Raw genomic sequence first — 24,762 nt, 5'->3', positions numbered from 1 at the left:
AGTACTTTCTTGCACCCAGAGGTAGACTCCTCCGCTCCCCTAGTGAATGATAAACTTCTTGTGAGTGGAGCCTGAGGCTTTAAACTGTTTATGTCTCTTTTGTCCAACAGTGCCCCTTGGTCATATTGGAAAGCCTCCTACTGAATGAATGAAACTGGAGTTTTGATCTTGTATTTAAAAAAATTCTTTTAGTCTCTACTTTTTGTCTCTGGTAAATAGAAGTTGCGGCCAAGAAGCAATCTGTCATTTTTGAAACAAGTAAATGGTCTATTATTTTTCAAGGTTATCTCTAACCTCTGATAAAAATTTTTAAATGTTAAGGTTTTAGCTTTTTTTGGCCATGTACTTAAACCTGCACTGAATTCTGCTCTGGGGCACCCTTTGTAGTTTTCCCTCTATTAATGTGGCTGAAGACATCTTTAACTTCTCCATTGGCTGTAGCAGAATATATTGATTTTATAGTTTATTTTCAGTGACAATTAAATCATTTGTTGGAAATATATTATTGGAGAAATTTCAATATCTTATTAAGAGATTTTTTGTTTTTTGGAATGTAGGGGATACTACTTAGTAAAGACCATTGCCTTTGGAATTAAACCTGGGTTTGAATCTTGGATTTGCCATTTAGTAGTTATGGGGCTTTGGAATACTAATTTCACTTTTCTTTTTTTCTTTTCTTTTTCTTTTTTTTTTTGAGATGGAGTCTCACTCTGTCTCCCAGGCTGGAGTACGGTGGCGCGATCTCGGCTCACTGCAACCTCCGCCTCCTGGGTTCAAGTGATTCTCCTGCCTCAGTCTCCTGAGTAGCTGGGACTACAGGAGCGCGCCACCACGCCCGGCTAATTTTTGTATTTTTCAGTAGAAACGGGGTTTCACTATATTGGCCAGGCTGGTCTCAAACTCCTGACCTCGTGATCCACCCACCTCAGCCTCCCAAAGTGCTGGGATTACAGGCGTGAGCCACCATGCCCGGCCCTTATTTCACTTTTCTAAGCATCATTTTCTCATCTCTAAAATTAAGATAAAAAGAAAAATACTACCCATATATGACTATTATGAGGATTGAATGAGAAAATGATATTAAAGACAGACCACAAAACAAAAATGAGACATTCTCTTCCTGCTTTTACTCTATGTACATACATCTGTGTGTGTATTCCTTTACCATCTCTCTATATTTCACTATGCAAACCATGGTGATATATGTGATAAAGCAGTACCTGCAAGAAGTTCCTGTGAAGCTGTAGTTACATATGTAACAAAGGAGGACTACACATAATTAGAATATCAAGGTACAAAACTGTGGACTGCAGATCAGTGGTTGTCAGCCTGCTTTCAGCCAGAACGCACCTGAGTAATGGTGATTCACAAGGACACACTCCCCTTTTAAGCCTGGTTTCTGGTGTGTCAACACATGCCCTATTATTCTTACTCACCAGGATTGAAAGTGAGTAAGTGTAGTGTTAGGGTAGCAGTAGCTCTGAAATCAGTCATTTTTTTTTGAAAAAAAAATTACATTATTAGCAAATCTCATCACTTTCCCTGCTAGCAGGCACAATGATTTGGCTGATGTTGAGAAACTGTCAGAAAAGGGCCAGAAACTAAAATGTCTGCAAGGCCAGGCTGATAAATGAGTGAAGTGAACTGAATAGGAGAACCCACAGGAAGCCATTAGGAAGACCTTGGTGCACAAGAGTACACGTACACACACAAACACACACACACCCACACACCTCTAAACGTTCACATGCTCACCAGCTCCAGCACATCACAGGTCCAGTAATGCCAGCTCCTCTAGTGTCTCAAAAAGCCAGAAGTGGCTCACGCCTGTAATCCCAGCACTCTGGGAGGCAGAGGCAGGCGGATCACAAGGTCAGGAGATCGAGAACATCCTGGCTAACACGGTCAAACCCCATCTTTCCTAAAAATACAAAAAGTTAGCCAGGCGTGGTGGTGGGCACCTGTAGTCCCAGCTACTCGGGAGGCTGAGGCAGGAGAATGGCGTGAACCCGGGAGACAGAGCTTGCAGTGAGCCGAGATCATGCCACTGCACTCCAGCCTGGGGGACAGAGAGAGACTCCATCTCAAAAACAAACAAACAAAAAAACAAAAAAAAAAAACAGCCAGAAATCTGGAATTTTATGTGAAATCTCTGGATTTTATTCAAATCATTTTAAAACAGTACAAGACAAGTCAAACACGTTCACCATTTACAAGACCTATGGGCTATTAGTCTGTAACTAAACTTCTTCAGACCAAATGTCTTTGATTCCATACTCTTGTCAGCAAAATCACTGAGCATGCAATCTAGAATATAATTTATAAATTATAAGCAAGTACTAAAAATCTGTAAATTAAATACAAATAATGCCTTTTTTCTCTTAGGAAGAAAGCAAACATAAATATGTTGATGCTTTTGTAGTTCATAAGCATGATGATTAGGTGTTCACATTCAAGTGTGGGATGTGCCATCCTCAAACCTTGTCATGATGTCAACATTTTGCCCATCTGACATGAAAATAAATAGCAGATAAATAGATGTTCTCACATTTCCCTTCGACACTCTCATGAATCTCTGTGGGTGTGCAGCGCCGTGGAGGCCACCACTTGGACCCGGAAGCCTGTAGGGATTGGAAGACAGGGGGACCTAAAGAAGTAAAAGTCAGTCCATTTCTCCTGCTCTTCCACTCCTGACACTCAAATTCTCAATTCCTCTCTCAAAGCAGCCACTATAAAGATTTGTGTTTTTTTTTTCCTTTCTGCATGTATTTTTTGTTTTCATTAATTTATTCTAAAGAAACGGTTTTCAGCACCTGGGGGCAAATATGGCTGCCCACATGGGACTTTACATTCTGTTAGGGGAGACAACTAATAAAAAACTAAATATGAAATAATGAAAAAAATAATAAACATGAAATACGGTGGTGCACATCTGTAATCCCAACATGTTGGGAGATCGTGGTGGGTGAATCACTTGAGCCCAGGAGTTTGAGACCAGCTTGGGCAACAAAACAAAACCTTATCCTTACTTAAAAAAAAAAAAATGAGGCCAGCAACAGCAACAATAGCAATGATTCCCTTTCTTGTGTCTGTGTTCCTTTGCTCTGTAACTCTGAGTATACTTTCCACTTTGGCTCTGACCTTGACCATGTGACTTGCTTTGACCAACGAAATATGACACAGTAGAGGCTTGAAGAGTCCTTGTGGTTTGGGCTCTTGGACCCCCGCTGTCATGTGATGAACTAGGCTCACCTTCTTGATGAGGAGGGAAACATAGTCCAGTCATCTCATCACTGCAGCCAACACCAAGACACGTGTCAGGCATTTGAGTGAGGTCATCTGGAACCAGTCAGCCCCAGCTAAACTGCCAACTGACCATGGATGCATGAGTGAGCCTAGCTAAGATCAGCCAGAAGAACCGCCTAGCAAAATTGTGAACTAAATAGATGGTTGTTTTAAGCCACTGGGATTTGAGTTGGTTTGTTATGCAGCACAAGGTAATTTATACAAGCTGCAGCATGAATCAGATACCATGCTGGGATCTCTCTTTACCATCATCCTGGGGCTGTCCTCTGCTTTTTTTCCTGTATTGGATCTCATGTTTCTAGTAATCCACATTTTCCTCTTGCTTGATTTCCTTCAGTGACTTCCCAAGGAAGAGTACATGAGCAGTAAATTAATTGTATGAAATCTTGCATGTCTGAAAATGTCTTTTTTTTTTTAATTTTTTTTCGATTCTTGTGTTTAAGTGCTAGTTTGGTTGGAAGTAGAATTTTAGATCGTTAATTATTTTCTCTTAACATTTTGAAAACCTTTCTCCATTGCTTTGTAGCCAGTCCTCCTGTTCACAAGTTAAAAGTCTATGCCAAAAGATGATGAGACCACCACTTAATATCTGAAATAAAAGGACAAAGCTGAATTTACTCCTTGCTCTAGTGAGAGCTATGATGGTCAGAAACTGTCTTTCCATGTGGAGCAGACTACTACGGTTTTGAGGAAGCATGAGTTCAGGGAGTTCAGAGACTTCAGTAGGATGTCATCATTTGCAGAATCACAGTTCCTTAGGGGAGGGGAAACTTTATTGATCGTTCACCACTCAAAGGTGTTTTTACAGGAGTGAATCCATCTATGACTGGCTGTTTTTCAGAAACAAAGACCTGATTCTGATGTGTTGGTTTGTAAAAGTGTGTACATTGAGGGGAATTGTGTTGATTGATTACATGGGTTTAAAACCAGTTTTTGATAGCTACTTCTTATTATGACTACAGAACAACTGCCTTTCCCTAAGTTTTGGGGAACATTTTTATTCTCATAAATCTCTGATCCTGTGTATATGACCTGTATATTTTTCCCCTTTCTACAATCTTGCAGGATCTTCTCTTTGTCTTCAATGTTTGAAATTTCACAATGTGTGCATTAGCCTAAGACTGTATTCACTTAATACATTTTTCTGTCTGGAAATTCAGATTATTAACTTCTCTTCATTTTTTTCTTTTGGATGCTCTATTAGTCCATTTTCCTGCTGCTGATAAAGACATACTCGAGACTGGGCAATTTACAAAAGAAAGAGGTTTAATTGGACATACAGTCCACATGGCTAAGGAGGCCTCACAATCATGGCAGAAAGTAAGGAGGAGCAAGTCACATCTTACATGGATGGCAGCAGGCAAAAAAAAGAGCTTGTGCAGATAAACTCTCGTTTTTTAAAACCATGAGATCTCATGAGACCCATCCGCTGTCACAAGAACAGCACAAGAAAGACCCACCCCCATGATTCAGCCATCTCCCACCGGGTCCCTCCCACAACACATGGGAATTATGGGAGCTACAAGATGAGATTTGGGTATGGACACAGATGCTAACACCCTTGACCAATTTCCTAATTGTCTGACATTTGTATCTCCTGTTTTCCATTCCCTTTTCTTTTTGCTGGAAAAATTCTCAACTTTACATTCTGACCTTTCTATTGAAAATATTAATTTCTAGTTGGGTGGATTGGCTCACATCTATTATCCCAGCACTTTGGGAGGCGGTGGCTGTAGGATCACTTGAGCCCAGGAGTTTGACACCAACTAAGGCAACATAGTAAGACTCATTTCTACAAAACGTAAAAGAAATTAGGCAGGCATAGTGGCATGCACTTGTAGTCCCAGCTACTCAGGGAGCTTAGGTGGGAGGATTGCTTAAACCCAGAAGGTCCAGGCTGCAGTGGGCTATGATCATGCCATTGCACTCCAGCCTGGGTGACTAAGAAGGATCCTGTCTCAAAAAAAGAAACAAAGAAAGAAAATAAAATATTCCTTTCAGCTATGTATTTAATTTTCAAGATCTTCTGTATGTGTTTTGTTCCATTTATTTATTTGCTTGTTTATTTTTGCGTAGAATTCTTTTCTTGTCTTGTGGTTATAGTAGCTTCTCTTTGTGAGAGGTTTGACTTTTATTTTATCTTCATTTCCTTGACATTACTTTTTTTCTTTATTCATTTTCTATCTTCCAAGTTAAAGGCTTTCCTCACATATCTTATCATCTTTGTATCTGATAATATTTAAGAGTGAGATACTGAAACACTGGCTGGAAGCCCTGAGAATATGAGAGCTGGGCTGGTCTGATGTGGGTTTCACTGTAAGAGCATCACGGTGGGTTGGGTCTACTGAGGGAACTTCCAATGTCAATATCTTTCCAAGGTCAGGTCTTTCATCATGGACCAAGCATATTTCCCAGAGAAGACTCCATGTCCTGCCTGGAGGGTGAAGGTCTAACTTTCAGTGTTCTTGGCCCAGAGAAGGAAAAGATGGATATGTATTGGGTATCCCAGAAGCTAATATGCATGAATTCACTTAATCCACTATTTTTAGTACAATTCTCTCACACTCAACTGCACTGGTGTTCTCCCAGTGTAGAACCATCTATTTTACCCCATTCTGGAAATAAACTTCACCCTTTTGCCAGTTAAGGAAGGTGCAGTCTCTGGGATGCTACACAGATCTGGGGAGAAGGCTACGGATCCAATCAAATTCCTCCTAAAGAATACTTCCAAACAATCCTCCTTATTTAGTCCATATCCCCTTTACCCTCACTTCTTCAGGGACCTGCTGCCATTAGTTTCCAAGTCTTCAGATATGCTATAAATCAGATTAGTTTTTAGTTTTCTCTTCTGCCTGGTGGGATTTAAATTTCTCAAATCTGCTCATTTTATCCCTATGTATTCATCTGTTTTCCAGCTTCCAAAATTGTCCCTTCTTCAGCTCTCTCCATCTATTGGGTTTAAGCCTTAAAATATCTATTTACTGGTAGTTTTACTGGGATTTCCGGAAGTCAACAAAATAGAATTGTATGTTAGTCTCCTACCTTTACGCAAAGCTTGCTTTTCATTTTCTATTTACGGGAAGTGTGTTAATGGCTTCATAACTGAATCTAGCTTATAATTTATTTGTGATAGATCTAAAACTGGTTAATGAAAGATGGCTTCAATTACAGTAGGCTTAAAGCAATGTCTTTCTCCTTAAAAATACAGAAAAGAAAAAGCAACTCAGCACTAACCCAGTGAAGGGGCATACAGATAAGTCAAGATTTGTATATGGGGGACGGGCACGGTGGATCATGCCTGTAATCCTAGCACTTTGGGAGGCCAAGGTGGGTGGATCAACTGAGGTCAGGATTTCAAGACCAGCCTAGCCAACATGGTGAAACTCCATCTCTACTACAAATACAAAAATTAGCCTGGTGTGGTAGCACATGCCTGTAATCCCAGCTACTCAGGAGGCTGAGGCATGAGAATAGCTTGAACCTGGGGGCGGAGGTGGCAGTGAGCCGAGATCACACCACTGTACTCCAGCCTGGGCGACAGAGCGAGACTGTCTCAAAAACAAAAACAAAAGTTAAAAAAAAGATTTCTGTATGGGAATATTCTTTCCGTGCGTTTGTATGCCCTTGCTAAAATGCAGGTTGCATAACAGCCTTAATAAGAAAATTCCTAAGCCTATGGAAACTTGTGGGAGGGGTGTAGTCATGCATAATCTCACATCGAAATCTGCCAAGGCAGTGAATACTATAGAATCCACAACTTCAGTTTTCATTCTGCCCCACAGCTCAGAGCTGGAAACATATGTGCTTATGAATCTTTGTCAAGTTAATCACTTTTTCCTTTTGCACCAAAAATTTAAAACAGACTTCTTAGCAACTGTCGCTAGCGTAATCTGTTTACTAAAATCATATGATAAATCACACTCGAGGTAAGTTACTGTTGTTCTGTAAGTTCCTGTTACTCTGTTAATTGCTGTCATTTTTTCCCAGAGTTGTGCTCTCCTGCAGCGTTTTGCGGACGGCTGGCTATCTTACCCAGAATCAATCACACTGGGACACTGAAAAAAAAAAAAAAGGAAAGTAAGTAGAGTCAGCTATTTCATCTCTTTGTGAAACGTCTCCCCATTCTCGGCCTGAAACCATAATTTACCTTCCCAACCTTAAGAAAATCTTTTCTGCATTCTGCTACTTCTTGAAAGTTGCCTTTGACCTTCCAGTGGTCTTCTCTCACTTCCATTCTCTTTCAGCCCTGCCAGCATTTGCGAAGATGACTCAGACCCTCTTTACTGAAAGATAACTTATAAAACAACTCACATGTCATGAGCCTCCGCAGAAAAACTTCATTTCCCACTTCAAACCCAAAGTTTCCCTCCTTTAACTATATCCTAATTGGTAATAACAAAAGCACACATTGAACAACGACTTAGATATTGTGCTAAGCACTTTACATATATTAACTCTTCTCACCATCCCAATAACACTATGAAATACAATCTATTGTTATATCCATTTTGATAAATAAGAAAATAGAATCCAGAGAGTTTATGTAATGTGCTCAAGGAAAAACATTGCTCAGTGGCATGCCATTTGGTAATTGGTACCACCAACCATACCATCATTTGTCCACACCAGAAACCTAAGAATCAGGATTAATTGCTTTCTCTCCTGTTCTCTCCACATTCTTACCATCTTAGGCCAAACTACCACCATGTCTCACCCAGACCACTGCACCAGCCTTCCAACTATTTCCATTAATGTTCCTTTATAGACTATTCTCCATATAAATGACATATGAATTTGATAAATCCATAATCATAATGAGAGATTTTTAGAAACCTCTTTTTTTTTTTTTTTTGAGACGGAGTTTCACTCTTATCGCCCAGGCTGGAGTGTAATGGCGTGTAATGGTGCTCTCTGGGCTCACCACAACCTCGGCCTCCCAGGTTCAAGCGATTTCCCTGCCTCAGCTTCCTGAGTAGCTGGGATTACAGGCATGTGCCACCATGCCTGGCTAATTTTGTATTTTTAGTAGAGATGGGGTTTCTCCATGTTGGTCAGGCTGTTCTCAAACTCCTGACCTCAGGTGATCCACCTGCCTCAGCCTCCCAAAGTTCTGGGATTACAGGCATGAGCCACTGTACCTGGCTGGTAAAAACCTCTTTCAAAAACTGACTTCATGCAGACAAAATAGTCATATGACTCAAAAACATTTATTTTTATTGTGCAAATAACACAATTAATGATCCAAATCTTACGGAAATATGTGGAACACTACACACACACACACACACACACAAATAAAGAATACACAACAACACTTAGAACATTTACAAAAATTGGCTGGATGTGGTGGCTCACACCTGTAATCCCAGCACTTTGGGAGGCCGAGGCAGGCGGATCACTTGAGGTCAGGAGTTTGAGACCAGCCTGGCCAACATGGTGAAACCCCATCTCTACTAAAAATACAAAAATTAGCCAGGAATGGTGGCACATGCCTGTAGTCCCAGCTACTCAGGAGGCTGAGACAGGAGAATAGCTTAACCCAGGAGGCGGAGATTGCAGTGAGCCGAGATCGCGCCACTGCATTCCAGCCTGGGTGACAAAGCAAGACTCCATCTGAAAAAAAAAAAGTTTACAAAAATTGACTATGTCTTATGTCTCAAAGTGAGTCAACAAACAACACAGTCATTATTATATAGACCATATTCCCTGATCACAATATAATAAAGTTACAAATCAGGAGCAAAAGGATAGTTAACCCCTCTGTGTGTTAACTCTTCTTTACTCTTCCTCTATAAAAAGGAACTAGCATTTCCCAGCTCCCTTGGTCTCTGGTAACCTGGTAGGCTCTGCAATGGGAAGCACTGACTGCAACCTGGGGAGTCACAGGGGGTAAAGGAAAGATGTTCCCCACTTCCTGTGGGGGGCGCGAGGAGAGGATTCCTTACAGAGAAATTTATATCCCAAAAAGCAAGTTCTAGTTTTGAGCCTCCTCCTCATTTTGCTGACTTCTTTGCACTTTGTTCACCAATCTAACTTTTTTCCTTTCTTTCGCCATTTCTGTATAATTCCTTGATTTTTTATTTATTTATATATATATATATTTTTTGAGGTGGAGTTTCGCTCTTGTCACCCAGGCTGGAGTGCAATGGCACGATCCCGGCTTACTGCAACCTCTGCCTCCCAGGTTCAAGCGATTCTCCTGTCTCAGCCTCCTGAGGAGCTGGGATTACAGGCACCCGCCACTACACCCGGCTAATTTTTGGTATTTTTAGTAGAGACAGGGTTTCACCATGTTAGCCAGGCTGGTCTCGAACTCCTGACCTCAGGTGATCTGCCCACCACGGCCTCCCAAAGTGCTGAGATTACAGGCATAAGCCACTGCTCTGGGCCTCTGATTTTTATACCTCTGTAATGCCCTCTTGAATCCCTTCTCCTCTTTCTATTTTCGTTGTGACTAGTCCTCTGGCCGCTCACCTGGAAAGGCAGAGGAGAGGGTTGTAACTCTGGGAGTTGAATTATAACTAATCTTCTAATGATGGTGTTTAACAAAAGCCATGTTAAAGGCAAAGTGCTTCTGTTTCGAAAAATACTCTCAAACCCAGTTTTCTCTTGGCCCTCACACCACCTCAGCAGCAATCAACAACAAAGAAGAAGACTTCTTTGCCTAAATATGCGGGGAATTTCCCGACTCACATAGCAGCAGACACCAGCTGGATGTCCTCCAATTCAGTTCCGACACTGTCTACCTGGAGATAGCATCAGATTCTATCGGCTTGGGGCTTAGTCCCCAAAACTGCCCATTCCACAGACACCCATTGCAGATGTGGGCCTCTGGGACTTCCGACCAACCAGCTTCAAGCTGGGGTTCCTACACCTTCTCTTTGCGTTCAGTTAATTTGCTAGAGCAGCTCACAGAACTCAGGAAAAAAGTTTACTGGTTTGTTATAAAGGGCATTACAAAGGATACAGACGGAGAGATGCACAGGGTGAGGTATGGGGGAAGAGGCGCGGAACTCCCATCCCCTCCCTTGGCGGTCACCATCCAGGAACCTCCGTGTGTTCAGCTATCTGGAAGCTGCCTGAATCCAGTCCTCTTGGGTTTTTGTGGAAGATTCATGATATCAGCATTTCTTCCCCCGGCTTATAGGGCAGGAGCATCTCTGGAGAGGATCTTAAGACCCGTAGTCAGAAAGGTGGGGTAAGACTAGAGTCCTGCCTTCCAGAAGGTGAAAGAAGGGCAGGAAAAGGTCAGAGAGATTCTGTTTTCTGAATCTGCTCCTGAGGCCTAACACACCCAACCTTATAACGAAAGGTTGTAACGAGGGCTCTGGGAGATATGGTCCAGGAACTGTGGACGGAAATGTGTGTGTGTGTGTGTGTGTGTGTGTGTGTGTGTGTGTGTGTGTGTGTATAAAATAACACCACAGCTTCCTAGCCAGAAAGAAGAGGAGGCCGACCTTGACTGTAATGTCTTAATGCTGTTAACACAACTGAGAAAAACAAGTGTCAATCAGATGGGGCATTGGTAACTGGAAAACAACAGCAAAGGCTAAGGCCAGCGGGTCTGGTCAAGTTAGTTCAGGATGCCTCTCTGTTGTGATTATTTTGTTGGATTTAACTTCTCTAGAACCAAACGTAACCGGTCTCTACATTTCTGGCAATCTCACACCGTTCCTTCAGTGATCCATGCTCGAAATGCATAAATGATCGCTGACTCTTCTTCCCCTGTAGTCCTCATTATCTACTTGATTGAGCCTTTTTGACGCTTACTCATTTTTTTTCTCTTCCCTCCTCCCAGCCAACCATAATTTCAGGTGCTTATTAAAACACACTCAGATTAATCCCCCCAATTAGACCTCTTTGCCTCTTCCTGACCCTCCCAAGGGTCCTGCCCTACTATTAGGTAATGACATAAGACCCAGGAATAAGTATAAGGATTCCCACTGGCCTCCATCCTGGTATTTAAAACAGGCACAGTGCTCACACCTGTAATTCCAGCACTTTGGGAGGCCAAGGCTGGGGGACTGCTTGAGTCCAGGAGTTCAAGGCCAGCCTGGGCAACACAGGGAGAACTCCTCCCCCCACATCTCTACAAAAAAATAAATTGAAAACAAAAAACAAAACTAGCCATTTGTAGTTCCCAACTACTTAGCAGGCTGAGGTGGGAGGATTGTTTGAGCCTGGGAGGTCAAGGCTGCAGTGAGCCATGATTGCACCACTGCACCCAGCCGGGTGAAAGAGTGAGACCCTGTCTTAAAAATAAATAAATTAATGAATTAAACAAAACAGGCCTCACTTTCCTCAGGGAACCCTGGATCCTCTCCCTACCCCGGACACAGTAGGTTCAGTTGGGTGAGTTCTCTGCTTTCCTCTAAACATGTTATGCTCACACTTGGCCCCCAGGGTTTGCACTCAGGGTGCCCAACTCACAGCCATACTGCAAAGTCCCATTTCCTCCTTGAGTCCTTTGCTGATATGCCCTGGTTTACACTGATTCCTACCCTGGCTTTCTTTAGACCCAAAGACATTTAGGCAAGGGCGGATGGGCCATGTTGCTAAGGAGGCTTACACTTGAGGGCCCCTTAACTTGGACAGTCCCCTCCAAGACTGTGTGGCTAATTTTTATTTATAATTTTGTATTGTCTTAAGAAGATCATTTAAATTGTAAAAGCCTCAGGCCCCACGCAATCTGGGTCTGTCCCTGAATTTAGACATTAATTTATATTCTTTTCTTGAAGGATTTTCTAACTGGTTAATGTACAACAAACCTGTTTTCTCAACTTAGTATGAGCTTCTTTGCTAAATAATGCTGTGCAGTATACAGTGTGGTGGTTGAAAGGGTCATCAGTAGAGTCCCACAGACCTGTGTCCAAAGGTCACTTCTGCCGTTTCCTAGAGATGTGGCTTTTGGGCAAGTTTAAATTTTCATCTTCATTGATCTTCAGCTTCCTCAGCTGTTAAATGGGAATGATTATGGTGAAGCTTGCATTATGACTTTCAGAGGCCCAAGGAACTTTTGCCTTCATAGGCCCCTTTCTCCATGAAAATGATTACCAACTATATTTTGTGACTGTGTTGGTAAAAAGGCTAATATAATTCAACAGGGATTCTGTTCTTTTTTTTTCCTTTCTGATGCTAAAATAAACAAAAACATTTTCATGAGCCCCTAATAGTGTCATGGACCCTTGACATAGTGCCTAGTGAGCCTAATGGATAAGTTGACCCTGATTATAGAGCACACAGAGAAGCCTGGTGAATAATAAATGAGACAGTGTACATACAACATTCGACAAAGTGCTGGTGTGTATTAGGTGTTCAGCGGACGTCAGATATTACTTTTGTTATTATTATATGCCTCTTTCATATAGAAATGCTTACTAAATGGGATTGAATAGAGCTTATTTTACACTAAACCATTTGTAGCAATGGGAGTTTGGAAACAGATATCACTTTCTTATATATTATTATAGAATGTCAATTAAAGCTTTTCTGCTTCCCGACTTGGTACCCATCCTGTATTTACAAGCAGTTATTGCCTACGGACCAGGTGCTTAGATGTCTTGAATTTCAACAGAGCTCCTTAAACACTAGGTTCCCAAGCTCCACTCAAGAGATTCTGACTCAGTGGCTCTGGAGGGAGATCTGAAAATAAGTACTTAAAAAAATCTTACTCCCTTGGTGATTTTGAAGAGCAGCTAAATTTGTTGGAAACCACTATCATAGGCAAGCCGGTAGAGGTCAGTGACAGCTGAAAGAGTGGTATACGGGGGCATTAGCTTACCTCTTCCTAAACTCTGTAACACTCACCCTCAATCACTGCAAATAAAATGAAGTGTCTGCTATGCAAATGCAGCTTCCAGACAAGTCCCCTACGCACTCCCTTCCCAATCAGATTGTACCACTAGCCCCCCTTAGTAAAGTAATTTTGGAGCAGTCTGCAGAAGAGATATAATTCATATTGTAGCTTTCAAGGAACTTCCAGGATAGAGATCAACACAAAACCAAGGTAGCATACTTTTAAGATTTTAAGGACCAAATGGGTACTGTGGACATTGAGCACTCAGAAGAGGAAGCAATCATGATAGACTGAGTTGCTGGGGGAGCCTCAAAGTGAAGAGTGACTTATGTTGAATCATGAAAGAAGGTGGACCTGAGACATTGAGACACGAAAAAAAGAATAATAGACTGGGGGTTAGGGGATGCAGGAATAAAACTGGCTTTGCCACACGCTAGCTGGGTGTCTTTGAAAATGAAGATATGAAAAAATGTAAACCTGTCAACACCTATTCCAAACAAGAGAAACCTGGTATAAAAATGCTAATATTTGCAAAAATACAATTTAAGACAAAAAAGCATTATTAAGAATAAAGAGGGGGCCGTGTGCGGTGGCTCACACCTGTAATCCCAGCACTTTGGGAGGCCGAGGCGGGCAGATCACAAGGTCAAGAGATCGAGATCATCCTGGCTAATATGGTGAAACCCTGTCTCTACTAAAAATACAAAAAATTAGCCGTGCCTGTAGTCCCAGCTACTTGGGAGGCTGAGGCAGGAGAATTGTTTGAACCCAGGAGGCGGAGGTTGCAATGAGCCAAGATTGCGCCACTGCGCTCCAGCCTGGGCAACAGAGCGAGACTCCGTCTAAAAAAAATAAAAAATAAAAAAATAAAGAGGGATACAACACCCTGATAAGGAACAGTTCACCAAGAGGATAGAATCATCATGTACTTGTATGCACTAAAAAAAGAAAAAATGTCCTGGAATATGTTAATTCTCAAACTGGGAGAATTGACACATGCACATCAGATAATGATGGATGAACTATTTAAAACATAATAAGGACAAAGAATAAGTGATTTGAACAAGAAGGAAAAACCAAGGCACAGAGCAATGAAATAACTTGCCCAAGGTCTTGTAGCTAGTAAGTGAAGAGCTGGGATCCAGACCCAGGAAATCTGCTTTTATGCCACCCTCAGCTAAAGTTTCATCTTGAGTGATAGAGCCTTAAAATGTGTTTACACCAAAAAGAAATATTAAGGATAAGTCAATTAAGCATTTAATATACAATTCAAGAAGTTAGAAAAGAAAGAAGAGGCCGGGCGCAGTGGCTCAAGCTTGTAATCCCAGCACTTCGGGAGGCTGAGGTGGGCAGATCACGACCTCAGGAGTTTGAGACCAGCCAGGCCAAAATGGTGAAACCTCTTCTCTACTAAAAATACAAAAATATTAGCTGGGCATGTTGGCCCGTGCCTGTAATCCCAGCTACTTAGGAGGCTGAGGCCGGAGAATCGCTTGAACCTGTGAGACGGAGCTTGCAGTAAGCCGAGATCATGCCACTACACTCCAGCTTGGGCGACAGAGCGAGACTCCATCTCAAAAAAAAAAGAAGAAAAGAAAAGAAAGAAGAAATATCCAAAAGGAAAGAGAATGCAAAGTAAAAACAAGAATAAAAAAGAAGCTGGGCACAGTGGATCACACCTGTAATCCCAGCACTTTGGGAGGCTGAGGGAGGGCAGATCTCTGGAGCCTAGGAGTTGGAGACCAGCCTGGGCAACATGGCGAAAACCCATCTCTACAAAAATTACAAAATTAGCCAGGATGGGAGACATGCATGTATGGTTCCAGTTACTCGGGAGGCTGAGGTGGGAGGATCACCCAAGTGCAGGAAGTTGAGGCTGCAGTGAGCCATGAAAATGGTAACTATGTGAGGTGATGGATATGTCAATTAATTTTGTTGTGGTGATCATTTTACAATCACATATTGATATATGTATCAATATGTTTTGATACATATATCAAAACATCAAGGCCAGGTGTGGTGGCTCACACGTGTAATTCTAGCATTTTGGGAGGCTGAGGTGGGAGGCTTGCTTGAGCCCAGAAGTTGGAGACCAACCTGGGCAACATAGTGAGACCCTGTCTCTATAAATAAATAAATAAATAAAATAATAAGAAAGTTTGAAGGGTCATTTTGTTTTATAGTATACATATAATCATATAACTTTGCTATTTGCATATGGAGGGCGACAGTGAATATTCATTATCAAGAAGGGCTTTGGATTCAGAAAAGGTCGGATTTTTTATTCCAATTGAAAATGGTCTGGAAATACACATGCACAGTTGTTTGTCCTCGTTCACTGTCTCTTTCTTTCTCTCTCTCTCTCTTTTTTTTTTTTTTTTTGAGACGGATTTCACTCTGTTGCCAAGGCTGGAGTGCAGTGGCACAGTCTCGGCTCACTGCAACCTCTGCCTCCCAGGTTCAAGGGATTCTCCTGCCTCGGCCTCCCGAGTAGTTAGGATTACAGGCATGTGCTGCCACGCCCAGCTAATTTTGCATTTTAGTAGAGACAGGGTTTCTCCATGTTGGTCAGGCTGGTCTCAACCTCCCAACCTCAGGTGATCCGCCCGCCTCGGCCTCCCAAAGTGCTGGGATTACAGGCATGAGCCACCGCCTCCCACCTGCAGTTGGCTGTTTGTTGTTTTTTTGTTTCTTTGTTTTGTTTTTTTATGCTGCCCCGCCCCCTCTGGTTCTTTGTTTTACAGAAAAAAACAGGCCCAAATTGAAGGCTATTCTTTGACATAACTGGCCAACACTCTTCAAAAATGTTAATGTTGTGAAAATAAAGATTGAGAAACCATTAATGCTAATTTCCTGATATTAATCATTGAATATTTATTATTAATTAGTCTGAAACTATGTTATAATAGTTACTACGTATACATAGACTATGTAGAAACTTTGTGCTCCATTGCTAACAGAGTGCACATTGATGCAATTTCCCTGAAGGATAATTTGGCAATACCCTTCAAAAGCAGAAACGTACATACTTTTTGATCAAAAATTCCGCTTATAAGCAATTGTCCTACAGAGTTGGTTTCACATGTGTGAAATGGTTTAAATAAAATTGCGTATTCATTATAAGGGCAGCAGGCCAGGCGTAGTGGCACAAACCTGTAATTTCAGCACTTTGGGAGGCCGAGGTGGGCAGATCACTTGAGGTCAGAAGTTCCAGACCAGCCTGGGCAACATGGTGAAACCTCGTCTCTGCTAAAAATACAAAAATTAGTCGGGCGTGGTGGCACATACCTGTAATCCCAGCTATTCAGGAGAGTGAGGCAAGAGAATCGCTTCAACCTGGGAGGTGGAAATTGCAGTGAGCTGAGCTCATACCTTTGCCCTCTAGCCTGGGCGACAGACTTAGACTCTATCTCAAAAGAAAAAAAGAAAAAAGACATTGTAAGGGCAGAGTTTGGAAGCAATGTACATAACAGTAATGGGATTTTTTTTTTTTTTTTTTTTTGAGATGGAGTCTCCCTCTGTCACCCAGGCTGCAGTACAATGGCGCGGTCTCAGCTCACTGTACCCTCCGCCTCCTGGGTTCAAGTGATTCTCCTGCCTCAGCCTCTGGAGTAGCTGGGATTACAGGCGCCCGCTACCATGCCTGGCTAATCTTTGTATTTTTAGTAGAGACGGGGTTTCACCATGTTGGCCAGGCTGGTCTGGAACTGCTGACCTCGTGATTCGCCTGCCTCGGCCTCCCAAAGTGCTGGGATTACAGGTGTGAGCCACTGCACCCGGCCAGTAATGGGATGGTTTTAAGTAAATTATGATATACTTTTAAAATATAGTAAAATGGACACAATAGATTCCTATAAATGTACTTTTCTGGAAAGAATCCCAAGAATAGGGTTATTATTAACAGAAAAAAGTAAAGCATAGAACATTTGGTAGAATATGCCCCTATTTGTGTGTGGGAAAAGGTATATGTGTATGTATGTATATGCATTTATTTTATTATGCACCTATCTATATTTTGTATGCACATATACACATATATTTGTATACTTCTGTATATGTTTATATACATATATTTGTATACATTGGTATATGTATATATTTGTAAATTAATAGGATAGCTCTCTAATGATGCCTAAGAAAGTTGAGAAAATTTTGGCCTCAGAAAGGAACTGAGTTGCTGGAAGAGAGAGGGTAAGGGAGACTTACCTCAGTATTTCCAGTATTTCACTTTGTGTTTTGTGCAAAATATGAGTATTCCTATCTTTAAAAAATTAATTAATAAAAATACTATGTAGAATGTTAGAGAGCCAATATGAAATCAATAGAAAAGAGTGAACATTTTTTAATAACATCAGTGCAAGCAGATGGAGAAGGAACTTGTACTGAACAATTCTCCAAATATAGAAATAATTTGATTTTTTTTCTCCAAAGGCAGAAGAACAAGGGGCAGGAAGCCAGAGAAAGTTAGACAAACATGGCATGTTCAGAAATCTGTTTCCAGCTTAAAGGTTATCTTTTTATAGGATGAGGATTATCACGTGATCCATTTCTTCTTTTTCAAAACCAAAGTAAAGTGGTTAATTTTATGGTATATAAATTATACCTCAATTTAATAAATACATTAACTTTTAAGATGTTAAGGATGATGATACATTCATCGGCCATCATATTAGCCGGGCGTAGTGGCATGTGCCTGTAATCCCAGGTACTGCAGAGGCTGAGGCAGGAGAATTGCTTGAAGCTGGGAAGCCGAGGTTGCAGGGAGCCGAGATCGTGCCACTGCACTCCAGCCTGGGTGACAGAATGAGACCCTGTCTCAAAATAAATAAATAAATAAAATTTAAAAAATCAAAATTACTATATAATAATAGTTAAAATAAAAAGTTTAATACCAAAAAAATTTATTTAGCAATAAAATGAAAGAAAGTTTGTTTTTTTTTGAGACAGAGGTTTGTTCTGTCGCCCATGCTGGAGTGCAGTAGTGTGCTCTCAGCTCACTGCAACCTCTGCCTCCCGGGTTCTAGTGATTCTCCTGCCTCAGCCTCCCAAGGAGCTGGGATTACAGGTGTGTGCCACCACACCCAGCTAATTTTTGTATTTTTAGTAGAGACCGGGTTTCACCACGTTGGCCAGGCTGGTCTCGAACTCCTGACCTCAAGTGATCCCCCCTGACTCACCTCCAAAAGTGCTGGAATTACAGGCATGAGCCACCGTGCCCAGCCAGAAAGGGAAGTATTGATACCTGCAACAACTTGGATAAATCAGAAAGGCATTATGCTAACTGAAAGAAGCCAGTGTTCAAGATTAGAGGCTGTCAGACTCCGTTCACATGACATTCTCAAAGACAAAACTATAGGAAGAAAGAACAGGTTAGTGGTTTTCGGAAGCTAGGGCCAGGTGAGTATGAAGGGAGAACAGGAGGGAGTTTTTAGGGAGTGATGGAATTGTTCTGTATCCTTATCATGGTGATCTGCTGGGTGCGGTGGCTCACGCCTGTAATGCCAGCACCTTCAGAGGCCGAGGCGGGCGGATCACTTGAGGTCAGGGGTTCAAGACCAGCCTGGCCAACATGGTGAAACTCTGTCTCAATTAAAAATACAAAAAATTAGCCGGGCATGGTGGCAGATGCCTGTAATCCCAGCTGCAGGGGAGGCTGAGGCCGGAGAATTGGTTGAACCTGGGAGGCGAAGGTTGCAGTGAGCCAAGATCATGCCATTGCACTCCAGCCTGGGCAACAGAGTGAGACCCTGTCTCAAAATAAATAAATTAATTAATTAATTAAATTTAAAAACTCAAAACCACTACATAATAATATTTAAAATAAAAAGTTTAAAAAGCAAACAAAAAACCCCAAATAGAGTTGTATCAACGAGGTTTTGCTTGTGATTTGATTTTGTGGCCGTAATTGTCCTGTTCTCTTTCAACACAATAACCCTAACCCTCTCCCTGTTTCTTTCAGAAAGAGCGAGGGAGTAATTCTAGCCTGTTTTTACAAGAACACAGTGGCTATAGACAGTAAGTACTCTCCCATGTGAAAGCACCAGCTAATTAGACTTTGGTGGATGGTCATGACGTACCCAGTGACATGCTTTTACAGTTCGTTGTCATTGTTCTAGGTGCCAGTGTGAAGATGACTCAGCAAACGTGGAGAACCAAAGATTCTAGGGCAGCACCAAAACTGGGAAAGCAATTACAGCAGAAGTTGCCTTCCCCATGGTAGCTTAGCAACTTCGTGTCTCTCCAAGGCAGAGAGGAAAATCAAGTCTAACAGGCCTTCCCGAAGGCTAGGTGTGAAATACCAGAAGCCATCTTTGTTTCTGGCGATGTCACTAAATAAGTATTTGTTGATATAAAGTATTACACATCTGTTCTCCCACATTTCAGCTAAATTGCCAAAAGTTAACCCTTTCTGGAGATCCAGAATGGAGCAATATACCTAGCTCTCATTCATTATTTCCCTTGCTGATATTCTTGCATAGCTTTTAGTTTATGCATTTGTCCCAAATAAACCTAGAAAAAGCCACTTGTCGTAGGACAAGATGAGCTGATGATTTGAATCACTCCCCCACTGAGGAAGAAACCATCTGTGGAAAAGACTGTATAAGGTACTTCCTGGTTGAACGGTAGGGCTCTGGAGTCAGAAGTCTTGAATTTGAATCCCAGCCCTGAAATGTATCAGCTGTGTGCCCTTAGGTAAGTAACTGAACTTCTCTGGCTTCAGATCCCTCTGTGTGTGTGTGTGTGTGTGTGTGTGTGTGTGTGTGTGTGTGTTTTGTTGTCGTTGTTGTTATTGAGACAGAGTCTCACTTTGTCGCCCAGGCTGCAATGCAGTGGCGCTATCTCAGCTCACTGCAACCTCTACCCCCCGGGTTCAAGCGATTCTCATGCCTCAGCCTCCCAAGTAGCTGGGACTACAGGCGCCCACCACCATGCCTGGCTAATTTTTTGTATTTTTAGTAGAGACAGGGTTTCACCATGTTGGCCAGGCTGGTCTTGAACTCCTGACCTCAGGTGATCAGCCTGCCTTGCCCTCCCAAAGTGCTGGGATTACAGGCGTGAGCCACCGCAATTGGCCCTCTCTGTTCATTGTAGGTGCTGAAAGGAACCCAGTGAACTAGTGATAATACTTATCATGTACCTAGTGCCAGGTCTGATGCTTAATTCATATTCAGAAAGTAGAAGCAATTTTCATGTGATAGGTCATTAATGCCAATTTTATGTATCTGCAAATGAGGATGTGGGGGGTTCCAGGAAGTTATTTAAATGCTTTTGGTGCACAGTTCCTTTACCCTGCCTAGGGTTACCTACAACATACCTTTGGGGAACTTTGCCTGCTTCTTTGCTAGGCTGGGGTCCCATTCTCTTGGATCCTCTGCTAATCTGCCGATCAATCTTGTAGAGATTGCAGAGATGTTAATGACTTTATTTGACTTTTCTACTTAGAGACAGATAGATTAAGAAGTGTTTCAGGCTGTGGCCAGCTGGGACCATTCAGCAGCCTTCAGGGAACGCCTCTTTTAGCACAGGTCAGCCTGGCAGCCTGGGCTGTGGCCCCTGTGTGAATTGGCCTCTTGCACTAGAGATGGTTGGGTGGGTGGCTGAGGCTGCCTTCTCATACTCCAGGGTCTTTGTTCATATTTATGACACCTACATTTCTGCTTCCCTTTCTTACTTCTCCCTTCCCAGATCGGAGTGGAATAGAGCTCATTAAAGCTTTATAGGGGTAGTGCCAATAGAGAACTTTAGGTCTGGGGAAGAATCATTAGTAAAGATCGACCGTGTGCTCTGGGTGCCTTTAGGCAGCCACTGTTTCCATTGGTGTTTAATATTTATTGCTTTCTCATAATCTTCCAGCTGCTATCTTGTCACTGTTAGGAAGACTGGGGAAAATGTCCTATGGATATTTATTTTCTACCACATATTTAGTATATCACTTGAAAGTTTGAGTTCTGTGTTTCTTATATAACTTATGAATAATAAAATAAAAATCATCACTATTGCTTTCAGGCCAGATATACTTTTATTGCACAACATGTATTACGTACAAGAATATCACAAGATTTGGAAATGTTAGTCCTAGAAGAGTTTGACACAACGCAATGATAAGACAGTATGAAAAATGGAGCTATGAATAAAAAAGAATCCATAAGTCCCCAGAGCCTATGAGTATGTTATGTTGCATAGTGATGTAGTTTGGATGCCTGTCCTCTCCAAATCTCATATTGAAATGTGATCCCCAGTGTTGGAGGTGGGGTCTGGTGGAAGATGTTTGAATTATAGGGGCTGATTCCTTATGAATGGTTTGGTACCCACCCCGTGGTAATGAGTGAGCTCTCATTCTGGTAGTTTCTGTGAGAGCTGGTTGTTTAAAAGAGCCTGGCACCTCCCCTTCCTCTCTTGCTCCCTCTCTGTCTTGCCATGTGACACTCCTGCACCCCTTTACCTTCTGCCATGATTGGAAGCTTCCTGAGGCCCTCACCAGAAACCAATGCCTACACCATGCTTCCTGTACAACCTGCAGAGCCCAAATAAACCTCTTTTCTTTATAAATTAACCAGTCTCAGGTATTCCTTTATAGCAATGCAAATGGACTAACACACGTAGCGAGGAGGAATTAAGGTTGCACATGGAATTAAGGCTCCTAATGAGCTGACTTTAAGATAAGGAGATTATCCTGGATTATCTGCATGGGCCCAGTGTAATCACAAGGATCCTTTTAGTAGAAGAGGGAGCCCAAAGAGTGAGGCAGAAAGAGATTTGAAGATGCTACCTGCTGTCTTTGAAGATGGAGGAAAAGAGCCACAAGCTAAGGAATGCAGAAATTGGAATAGAAAAAGGCAAAAAACACAGATTCTCCCCCAGAGCCTCCAGAAGGAATGTAGTCCTGCCAACACCTTGATTTTAGCTCCATGAGACCCAGTTCAAACTTCTGACCTCCAGAACTACAGGGTAATAAATTTGTGTTGGTTTATGTCAACAAGTTTGTGCTAATTTGTTGCAGCAGCAGTAGGAAACTAATACACTACTGCTGAGGGCTTATGTCAATAAAGACAATACTGATATGAAAATACCTGTAATATAATTACAAACACAAATATCAAGTGCTTAGTGGACAAGGAGAGAAGAGCCTTCCCCCATGCAGAGTTCAGATGTTGCTTGATGATGGAGTTTACATGGGAAATTATATTATAAGTTACAGGTATTTAATATGTATAGCAACCCCATGACATAGTGACTGTCTGCAATTTAGAGAGGAGGAAACAGATAAGAGAAGTTGTACCATGACCCACAGCTAGTTAATTGAAAGAACTAGGATTTATAACATGCATTGACTGTATCCATAGCCTGTTGTTTCAGCCACTGGGCAATTTTGCCTCTCGCTTCAATGGTTGGTCAAGGGGATATGAATGGGTCATCAACAGTATCTACTAAATACCTCAAATCAACATGCGCCAAACTGAATTCATGATCTTAACCTCCAAGACTGCTCTTTCTCCTGGGTTTCCTGCCTCACTAAATGATCTCACTGCCAACCCAGAACCTTGAGCCTTTTCAGTATTACGCTAGATTCCTCCCTTTCCTAAACCATCCATATCACGTCTGTCACCAAGTCTTGTCAATTCCACCTTTAAGCTTTTCTCAAATCCACCCAGTCTGTGCCTTCCACCACCAATACATAATCTCAGGCTACCACCATCTCTCACCTGGATGCCTCATTGGTCTTTCCAACTCCCGTCTCCAGACTTTGTCTCTTCTAATCCATTTGCAATAAAACAATCAAAGTGGTCTCCAGAAACATACATTCAATTATGCATCTTATCTGCTAAAAACCATTCAGTGACTTTCCCTGAGGATAGAGGCCACAAGTCCTAACAGGTGTTTCTAGACATTCCAGGACCTTGCACAACTTCACACCTTATTCCTTTCCTGTTCAACAATTCCCTAAAAAATGTGTCTTTTCCCTTCACCTACAGACATACTTTCTACCCTCAGTCCTTCAAATATGCCATGCTCTCTCCACTCTCAGGGCCTTTGCTCACCCTCTCTTCCTCTAGTTATGACTTACGATCCCTGAGATCAAAATTACAAGTCATTTCTTTAAGAAAGTCTTCTCTGATCTCCTTTTCTTTTCTTTTCTTTTTTTCCTTTTATTATACTTTAAGTTCTGGGATACATGTGCAGAACGTGCAGGTTTGTTACACAGGTATACACGTGCCATGGTGGTTTGCTGAACTCATCAACCCATCATCTACATTAGGTATCCTAATGCTGTCCCTCCCCCAGCCCCCCACCCACCATTAGGCCCTGGTATGTGGTGTTTCTCTCCCTATGTCCATGTGTTCTCATTGTTCAACTCCCATTTATGAGTGAGAACATGTGGTGTTTGGTTTTCTGTTATCTGTATGATTCCCACAGCATCTGGTATGTCCTTATCATGGTATTTCTCACCCTGAATTGTAAGCTGTTTACCTGTCTAGATCCATCTCCCTCTCCATAACTGAGAGCTCTGTTAGGTAAGAACTGTATCAGACTTGATCATTGTTGTATCATCAGTACACAGTACTACCTGGCACATAGTATATACCTATGGAGCAGATAAATACCATTGTTCACTGAGTGAGGGAAAAAAAGTTTTCTGCATCCTATGGCAAAAGTGATAAACATGTAAATCTGGCTGGCTATTGACTGTCTCCCAAATGCCTGAAATCTGAGAGTTCAAAGCAGTTTTTTTCTTTAAACACCACATACCAAAGAAAAGGCCTCTCTTTGAAGTCAGCCTAGGAAGCCCAGGGCCAGGAGAAAGTGTGGTATGAATAGGCCTACCTCCCACCTGCTGCTGGAGGAATTTATCACAACTCTGAAGAGTATCCAAGAAGATACGTTTCCCGGAAAATCAAACCAAAGATCTTTCCAGAGCCCTGACTTTTAGTAATCCAGTACAATCGGTCTATTCATCTTTCTGGTAATGATTTCTTTCCCCCTCAAAGCACTCAATTCATTTTCCATCACTGACATGTAATCCAGAAATAATAGAGGTTAGTCTTGTATAACTCATATCCAAAAAGGGAAAGTGCCAACACCCTGAAAGAAAAGCTCTGAATTAAGTATTCCCAAAAATAATTCTCAGCAGATCTGGGGGATGTGAAAAGGCCTATTCAGTTGTCGATGATAATTCTTTTTGCTGTTTATTATAAATGTGGTTCCCCGATAGAAAGCGTTGAGTTTAAAAACACTACTCTGGCACAGTCCTTGTAATTACATCCCAGGATTCAAATCTGAAAATTGTTTCTAGTTCTATTTTCTAATAAAGTCTTACTCAGTGGTGCTAATACTTGAAATTGGTCTTTAAGAACTCTTAAAAAAAAAAAAAAAAAGGACCAGGCGTGGTGGTGCATGCCTATAATCCCAGCACTTTGGGAGGCTGAGGCTGGTGGATCACCTGAGGTCAGGAGTTCAAGACCAGCCTAGCCAACATGGTGAAACCCCATCTCTACAAAAATACAAAAATTAGCCAGGCATGGTGGTGGGCGCCTGTAATCCCAGCGACTCAGGAGGCTGAGGCAGGAGAATCGCTTGAACCTGGGAGGCAGAGGTTGCTGTGAGCCAAGATCATGCCACTGCACTCCAGCCTGGGAAACAGAGTGAGAATGTGTCTCAAA

The 24,762-nt window shown here is 42.0% G+C and overlaps 1 long non-coding RNA gene and 1 other non-coding gene across 2 annotated transcripts in view, besides 1 other annotated feature; both read left to right on the top strand.

Moving 5' to 3' along the window:
* The window catches only part of ACTR3-AS1 (ACTR3 antisense RNA 1), a 59,810-nt gene extending 40,346 nt beyond the window's left edge, over positions 1 to 19,464 (top strand). The window contains exons 3-5 of the long non-coding RNA NR_110174.1: positions 7,294 to 7,383; positions 19,062 to 19,117; positions 19,219 to 19,464. This is a non-coding gene — a long non-coding RNA (ACTR3 antisense RNA 1). The remainder of the gene's footprint in view (positions 1 to 7,293; positions 7,384 to 19,061; positions 19,118 to 19,218) is intronic.
* LOC124906165 (small nucleolar RNA U13) lies at positions 2,411 to 2,514 on the top strand. Its single transcript, XR_007088753.1, has one exon. It is a non-coding gene; the product is annotated as a small nucleolar RNA U13 (small nucleolar RNA).
* Positions 18,672 to 19,871: an enhancer, noted in NCBI's record as "MED14-independent group 3 enhancer chr2:114588353-114589552 (GRCh37/hg19 assembly coordinates)". NCBI's record gives its function as "activates an origin of replication core promoter dependent on BRD2, BRD4, P300/CBP and CDK7 cofactors, and independent of MED14, by STARR-seq in HCT116 cells {active_cell/tissue: HCT116}" and the evidence as "EXISTENCE:reporter gene assay evidence [ECO:0000049][PMID:35650434]".

Source organism: Homo sapiens, chromosome 2 (genome assembly GCF_000001405.40).
Source record: "Homo sapiens chromosome 2, GRCh38.p14 Primary Assembly".
Lineage (NCBI taxonomy): Eukaryota > Metazoa > Chordata > Mammalia > Primates > Hominidae > Homo > Homo sapiens.
The sequence above is the reverse complement of the archived record's forward strand: the minus strand, read 5'-3'. Positions and strand labels throughout refer to the sequence as shown.